The sequence below is a fragment of the Homo sapiens genome, chromosome 18 (assembly GCF_000001405.40).
Source record: "Homo sapiens chromosome 18, GRCh38.p14 Primary Assembly".
NCBI classification, from domain to species: Eukaryota; Metazoa; Chordata; class Mammalia; order Primates; family Hominidae; genus Homo; species Homo sapiens.
Genome location: NC_000018.10, coordinates 3,010,323 through 3,018,421, shown reverse-complemented (window position 1 = coordinate 3,018,421; position 8,099 = coordinate 3,010,323). Strand labels below are relative to the sequence as shown.

At 49.2% G+C, this 8,099-nt stretch overlaps 1 protein-coding gene across 5 annotated transcripts in view, besides 1 other annotated feature; it reads left to right on the top strand.

Annotated features, from left to right (window-relative positions):
* Window positions 4,888-5,837: a silencer, noted in NCBI's record as "silent region_9251". NCBI's record gives its function as "represses an Ori minimal core promoter by ATAC-STARR-seq in GM12878 lymphoblastoid cells {active_cell/tissue: GM12878}" and the evidence as "EXISTENCE:reporter gene assay evidence [ECO:0000049][PMID:35858748]".
* LPIN2 (lipin 2) overlaps window positions 5,278-8,099 on the top strand; it is a 96,151-nt gene continuing 93,329 nt past the window's right edge. For 2 of the 5 annotated variants that reach the window (XR_935074.3, NM_001375809.1), the window contains exon 1: window positions 5,278-5,385. Coding sequence is in view for 1 of the 5 variants with exons in the window: in XM_047437958.1 (XP_047293914.1) it covers window positions 7,492-7,494 (3 nt within the window). In the remaining 4 variants the exon portion in view is untranslated. Of the gene's footprint in view, window positions 5,386-6,462; window positions 6,705-7,304; window positions 7,495-8,099 lie in introns of those variants that run through there. The other 3 variants (XM_047437958.1, NM_001375808.2, NM_014646.2) reach the window with 3 other exon arrangements.

Genomic DNA, 8,099 nt, shown 5'->3' with positions numbered 1-8,099 from the left:
GGATTACAGTTGTGAGCCACTGCGTCTGGCCAATGCATTCAAAATTTTCAGATTTGTTAAGACTTGCTTTATTTATTTTATTTATTTATTTATTTAGTTTTTGAGATGAAGTCTAGCTCTGTTGCTCAGGCTGGAGTGCAGTGGCCCCATCTTGGCTCACTGCCTCTGTGTCTTGGGTTCAAGTGATTCTCCTACCTCAGCCTCCTGAGTAGCTGGGACTACAGTTGTGCGCCACCACACCTGGCTAATTTTTGTGTTTTTAGTAGAGACGGGTTTCACCATGTTGGCCAGGCTAGCCTCGAACTCCTGACCTCAAGTGATCGGCCTGTCTCGGCCTCCCAAAGTGCTGGGATTACAGGTGTGAGCCACTGCACCCGGCCTATATGTGTTTTATATGTTCATATGTTACCAGCTTTAGTGAGGTTTCTGGGTCGGCTTGAGAAGTAATTTTTTTTCTTATTCTACTATTTTGCTTTTGCAATTCTGTATTTATTGGGTCTTCTATTAATCTCCCTACTTAAAGTACATGCTAACCTTTACTTCTGCTGCACAAAACTCCCAAGGCTTCAAAAATCAACGTTCAAACTCACTAGATTCAGCAAAAATCCTCCAGGCATATGCTGACTTTGGGCTCGGCTTACCTCTCTGGGTTCTGACCTTCACCCTGTCCTGGGGCAATTTCTTAATTTCTTGCCAGTTTATAGATGCCTTCCAGAATATATTTTTATTATTTTGCCCAGTATTTTTGTTTTTGTTTTCAGTGAGGGAAAGTTGGTCTAGACACCCAGCTGAGCCTATCAGATGAAATAGAAATCTTCACTTATTTTTCATCACGTATTTACTCAGCACCTACTATGTGTATAATAAGTACTATAATTGTGATCTGTGCAAGGTGGACTAGAGGCATAAGAAAAAATACATCGACTGGGGTAGGGCAGTAGGGCAATTGAGGGAAGGTGGTGGGAGGTAGTTAAAAATACAGGTTTATGCTGGGCCTGGTGGCTCATGCCTGTAATCCCAGCACTTTGGGAGGCTGAGGTGGGCGGATCATTTGAGGCCAGTATTTCGAGACCAGCCTGGGCAACATGGCAAAACCCCATCTCTACTAAAAATAAATTAAAAAAAATAGTTTTGGTTCATTCATTTGATGGCTAAATAATAACTTTTTTAGAAAGAGAAGAAAAAAATATGGGTTTAGGAGTCAAGGAGGGCTGGAGGCAAATTCTATCAACACTGCTGACGAGTTGTGAGATCTGAGGCAAGTTACCCAACATCTCTGTGCCGTAGTTCCTTCCTCTGTAAACTGGTGTTAATGATAGAAGTTGAATTACTAGAAGAGCTGGGCACACAGTGATGGTACAGAAAATGCTAGCTATTCTCTGTCCTCACAGAGAAAGAGATGCAGAAGCTGGGAATAACAAAGCTATTTTTCTAAGGTTGAATCACCTCCCCTGGGAGCTGCCAGACAGGAGGGCATAGGACCACCTCCTTCCAACTCCAGGTCGGGGATACTTGATTCTTATTCTAGAGAAAATCCTTCTCTGCTTTCCAGATTCCCTCAAAGATATGCCTTCTCCCTGGCCCTCTCCCCCTTGACTGAGACAGGTTCCTCACTGAGCATAGTGTTTTGGAAATAAAAGACAGGAAGGAAATGTCTTGCAGACAACTTCTGCTTTCCACTCTGCCAACAACCTCCTGAGACAAGCAGAATGCCTGGGTGCATTCTTATAAGGAGAAGAAGAAAGAGAGAACTCTAAGGAAAAACACAGAAGTTAATATATGAAAAATTATTCTTACCAGCTACTGTGGCTCAAGCCTGTAATTCCAGTACTTTGGGTGGCTAAGGTGGGAGGCTCGATTGAGCCCAGGAGTTTGAGGTTGCAGTGAACCGTGATCACACCACTTCACTTTGGCCTGAACAACAGAGTGAGACCCTGTCTCCAAAAAAAAAAAAAAAATCCTGTTGCAAAAGGGATGATGGAATGGCTGAAGCATACAGACTAGAAGGAGCAGGAGAGAAAATTAGAGAGAAAAGGAGCACACTGGATGCCACGCTAGGGAACTTGGCTTGCTTCGTCAAGACAATGGGTTGCCAACCACCTGTGCCATGGCCAGGTCTGCAATTCAGAGTAGAGGATGCTTAGAATTGGGCAGGACTAGAGGGTAGGGAGACCAGCTGGCATATTCCTACAATGGACCACAAGAGAAATGGCGAGGGCCTAATCACAAGCAGGGGTGAGTGGTGCGACAGAGGACCAAGAGTAGGAATCATGAGGAGGAATAATGAGGAGGAGTGATGGAAACAGCATGGGAGTAGAGGGAAATGAGACTCCCTCCTAGGTTTCTGGCAAGTATGTCTAAACAGATGACAGCGCCATCAGCCAGGATAGGAGATTCAGGTGGAGCAGGTTTGAAGAAGCACAAATAATGGGTTTGAATCTGACATCACTGTGGACCTTGCTGGTTGAGACGTTGAAAGCCACTGAGCACAGGCATGTAGAATTCAGAGGAGTTCCCACTAATGAGGGGAGGAGAGAGTTTCAAGAAGGAAATAATGATCAACAGCATCTTGCCCTGCAGAGATCATGAGGCATGGGACAGGAAAGGGGTCTGTTTTCTTCGGCAACCAGAAGGTCATAGTGACTTTAGCCTGAGCAGTTTCAGGGTTAGAGGAGGAGCAACCCTGTGAAGATGGGAGAAAACCTGAAACTCTTTCAGGTAGCTTGGGTGGGAAGAGAAGCTGTGTGATAAGTCGACAGCCTGAGGGGGAACGGAGGGGCCACAAAAGCTTCTTTTTCAAGTGCAGGAATGAAGCCAGAATTGAGGAAGAGGGGACAATTAGTGGAGTGAGGTTCCTCACCTTGGAGCTGGAAGGTGGTGGGTCAGAGGCCAGTTGAAGGAAGCGCTTTCTTCCTCTGACACTCCAGTGGAGTAGGTGGACCTGGGGTGGCCCCTCCACACTTCCTAGGGCAGGAGGTGAAGGGATTTATCATGCAACAAACATTTAATGAGTCACCACTTAAGTGGTAGTGTAAGCTGGTGGACACGGGAAAATGAGGAAAATATTAGCAATATGAACCAATCGTTCTGAGTGAGGTCTCAAACGCAAGGTTGTTTGGAGGAAGGGAGGGGAGCTCTAGGGCTTCCTGAATGATGAAAGGAAGGAAGGGAGCTTGGCAGAATATTTCCCTCCCAAGGCAGAGATAGAGAAAATAGCCTGAGAGAAACAGGAAAAGTCTAAGTGGGAGAAATGGAAGAAAGGAAAGAAAATAAACGCTAACAGCCTGTTCCAGGTTGCAGACACTAACGTAGGCACTTTATAGGTTATCACGGGGAATCCACAAAACAATTCTGTAAGAAAGACACTACTATCTTTATTTTACTGACGTAGAAACTGAGGATTAAATTCTTTCTCTAGCTTTAATTTTTCTTCTCCATATTTATAAAATCCATTGAATACGGAGGGGGATATTTTAGTCCTCTTCAATTTTTATTTTACTTGTGAAGCCAAGTGAGAAGCAGTGAAATGAGGAAAATTCCTAGTGGTCTTGTGCCAGTGAAACTACCTATGTTTCTGTAGGGCCTTGATTACAGATGGGGCAAAACTTGATCGAGTTTCACAGAAAAGCAGAAGGAACTTCAGTGAAGAAGTGGTCGCCTGCTCCCTGAATCCAAGCACTGCCCAGCTACACCAGGCACTGGTGGGAAGAAACTGGGCTGCAGCTGGATCCTTCAAGGAGCAGCTTTGTGTATGCAAATGCCTATTTCAGTACCCTTAGAACTGTATAAATGATCACACACAAGATGCACCTCATAAATTAACTGCCATTTATATAGAAGTAACATAGGCTTCTGTTCATTACTTTCAATCATAGAATAGTAATAGAATAGGCTGCAAATTAAAAACCAGTGTGCACCAATAGTATATAGCACCAGCAATCCAGTTTTTTTTGTTTTTTTTTTTTTTGAGACAGAGTTTCGCTCCCAGGCTGGAGTGAAGTGGCGCAATCTCTGCTCACTGCAACCTCCGCCCCCCGGGTTCAAGTGATTCTACCGCCTCTGCCTCCTAAGTAGCTGGGATTGCAGCCAACATGCCCGGCTAATTTTTGTATTTTTAGTAGAGGCGGGGTTTTGCCACGTTGGCCAGGCTAGTCTCCAACTCCTGACCTCAGGCGATCGACCCGCCTTGGCCTCCCAAAGTGCTGGGATTACCGGCGTGAGCCACCGCGCCGGGCCCCATTTCTTTTCTTTCTGAGACGGAGTCTCTCTGTCGCCAGGCTGGAGTGCAATAGCGCCATCTCGGCTCACTGCAATCTCCGCCTCCCGGGTTCAACTGATTCTCCTGCCTCAGCCTCCTGAGAAGCTGGGATTACAGGCACGCGCCACCACGCCCGGCTGGTTTTTTGTATTTTTAGTAGAGACGGGGGTTTCACCATGTTGGCCAGGCTGGTCTTGAACTCCTGACCTCAAGTGATCCGCCTGCCTCGGCCTTCCAAAGTGCTAGGATTACAGGCGTGAGCCACCCATTTCTTAAAAAGTATATTTTAATGCTGGGGACGGTGGCTCATGCCTGTAATTCCAGTACTTTGGGAGGCCGAGGTGCGGGGATGCTTGAGCCCAGGAGTTGGAGACCAGCCGGGGTAACAGAGCGATAAAAAGAATAAACAAAAAACAACAGAACCCCGGCATATTTTTAAAAATGAGTTGTGTAATAGGATTTTTTTTTTTTCGGTGGAGATGTAAGTAAGCAAAGGAGATGTGCTACTAGTGATCAAAAGGGGATTATAAAACATTCATTCCCTAGACTTTTTTTGCACTTTAACATTCCTTTTTGGCAATTGGGCTCTCAGTCCCACGTGACCTGCCGCAGGGTTGCCATGGGGACCGGAAGAAACTTTTTTTTTTTAAAACAAAGTAAGGCTCCTGTCGCCCGAGGCACTAGAAAATCGAGGCCCCGCCCTCACTTGGCCAGGGGCCCGGGCGCGCAGCCCAGGGACTGGGAGCGGTGAGAAGCCGCACGCCTGGCGCTCGGCGGCGGGGGCGCGGCGCGCGGCCGGGAGCGCGCGTCACGTGGCTGGGGCGGGGCCTGCGCGCTGCCCGCCCGCCAGCTGCCGGCTCGGCCGCCGCAGCCGCGGCGTCCCATTCATGAGGGCCGCCCGACTCAGCTGCGGCCCAGGCGGCTTCCAAGGCAGCGGCGGCTGCGGGCGCTCCGACCCCGCGCGCGCCCCCGACCGGCCCCGCCCCCTCGGCTTCCCTCCCCGGCGGGTCCTAGCCGTCGCAGTCCAGCCGCCGCCTGCCCTCAGCCGCCCGCTGGCCGGGAGCGGAGCCCCTGTGGGTAAGTGGGCGCGGGCCGGGCTCCTCGCAGGCGTCCCTCCGGGGCTGGCGGTGAGTGTCTGCGCCTGGGGGCTTCCCTTGGCGCGGGCCCGGGGCTGTCCTGCCGGAGGCCGGGACCCTCCGGGGCGGCGCGGGTTGAGCCGCCCCTCCTCGCGCCGCGGTCCCCGCTTCCCGGTCCTCGCGTCCCAGTCCCCGCCTCGCCGCGACCGCGCCACGTAGACGCGGCCCCTACCGCCGCCGCCGCAGGACGGACCGGCGGGGTGCGCGGGGAGCCGGGGGCGTCGGGGCGTCAGTGGTGGCTGCTGAGGACTCTGAACCCGCGCAGTTCCCTCGCCGCCGCCCTGGGGATGGTTACCCGAGACCACCCCTACCCCTGGGTTTGGGGCGCGGAGGGGAGTGCGGAAGGCGCGCGGGAGGCCGCGTCTCCATCCCGCCCCCGGCCCTGCGGGAGGGGGCGCCGGGCACGTGATCTGCGGCGAGGCGGGGGCCGCCGAGTTGCTGGTGTTTCTTCCCCGCCGCGCTTTGCCCCGTACCTCCGCCTTCAAGCTGTGTGGACCGGATTCAAATGTGGTTAGTTTTCTCAAAGCCCCCCAGCCCCCGGTGCAGATCTTAATTTGTGAGGAACACGTTCAGATACAGTTTGTACTGAGAGCCTCTCTGTCCACTTCTAACGCCAGCGGATCACCATTTTCTCCACTCGCCTGAACATTTTAAGACTCTTTTCATTGAAAATTCAAGATGACATTTTTTAGGCATAATTATGCAAACCAGTACCAGAAAGATCACCCTTCCTTTCCGAAAAGTACTGGAACTCTGAATACTTGGAAATGCTTTGAAGGACTACTTAGTAAATGGCCAAACTAATTTTTAATGCACATTTGGGGCTTACCCATTTTTTTTTTAATTGAAAACGAGGCTCTAGACTTGGTGTCAAGGTAGGTCCTGTTGAATGAAGTTCTTTACCCAGTAGTGATGATGGGTGTTACTGTTTATTAAAACTTGGCCTGGCTAGATTATAATGTTTTGACAATACAAAGTCGGTTTTGAAATACATTTTGAAATATTTACGAATTATTTAGTGGCCCATACTGGTTTATGTTTTAACGGTCTGGTGTTGATCGTTCTTAGTGGCTTCAGATTGAGAAGAAGTGGCAGGTGATGCTGAAGCGGGGGAGAAGCGGCAGAGCCGGCCACACAGTGCAGGGGATGGAGACAGGTGCTGGGCTGGTCCTCCTGCAGCATCCTCAGTTGTTGGAGGGCAGTCATCCTCAGGCCGTACCCAGCCAGAGAAGAAAAAGAACAGTGTGAAGCCACGTGTGATAGCCGTCCAACATCGGCTCTTCCCTCCAATTACATTGTAGTTGATTGTGGTATGTCAGACTGAAGTATCTCTTTTATTTCGAGACAGAGTCTCACTCTGTCGCCCAGGCTGGAGTGTAGTTGCGCGATCTCCGATCACTGCAATCTCTGCCTCCTCTGTTAAAGCGATTCTTGTGCCCCAGCCTCCCGAGTAGCTGGGATTACAGGCATGAGCCACCACACTCAGCTAATTTTTGTATTTTTATTAGAGACCGGGGGTTTCACCATGTTGGCCAGGCTGGTCTCGAACTGCCGACCTCAGGTGATCCGCCCCCCTCGGCCTCCCAAAGAGCTGGGATTACAGGCGTGAGCAACCGCCCCAGCCAGACTTAAGGTATCTCCATGCCCAACTTTTGATAGAGGTAGCCATAGAAAGCTAGAAATGAAACGACAGGTTCTGTTTTAACGTTTGATGGCACAGTCGAGAGTCAATAGGCACGCATTATGCTTAAGAGAAGCTGGAAATGAAGTGTTTGAAAACCCTTTAATACTATAGTAAAGCACTGTTAAGAAGCAAATAATAGAGTCAGCTGGGGCTTTGTCTTCTTTATTGCTAGGAGAATGTAGCAATAGAAGTTCTCATCGCCCTGTATTGCACTTTTGGTTTTAAGGACTGGACCCAGAGTTCCTGAAAGCCAAACTCCATAGCTGCTCAGTAAGTTCCAAGCACATAGCCGGCTTTGGGATGCGATTCGGTCGAGGTCTGTTGAATGAAGGTAGACGCAGCAGGCAGTTTGTCCTTACCAGTGACCTGGAAGACGGTGGCACTTCCTGAGTGAGCTCACTTACCTTCCCTGAATGGTGAGGCATGGATGAATATTCCTGGTGGTGCCACGTGTTAGAGGTGGTAAAGGGTCAAATGTTTACTTTTATTAATATTACATTATGGCTTGGTTCTCTGTGTCAGCGATTTTTCTATGCCTTGGGTACTTATTTCCTAATATATATCAGCACAGTAACGCCTAGCTGGAGGCTTTGTCTTGTTAGTTGATAGATTAGTGGTAACAGGTAGATTTGGTTATCTCCCGTAGGTGCTTAGCAATTTACATCAAGAGGCTTTTCTTTAAGTCTGATTTAAGTCTTTCCATCTTTAATTTAAATCCATTTCTTTTTACTCCGACCCCAGTGACTGTCGTTGAGTGTGTATTTGCCCGACTTGCCGTGCCAGATTGGTAGGCAGTGGTTTGGAATCTTCATTTTAAAATCCTGTTTTTCTCTCTCCAATACCCTTCACTGCTTGGTAAGTTTTTATACTTCTCAATGAGACCCAGAGTCTCGTGACCTACCATTTGCCTCCTTCATGATGAAACAACTCACAAGTTGGTAGATAGCCTCCAGTTGGCAGAATCCTATGTATAATGTGTCTTTAAAACTTGAAGAGTTTGAAGGTATTATAGCCTGGAGCA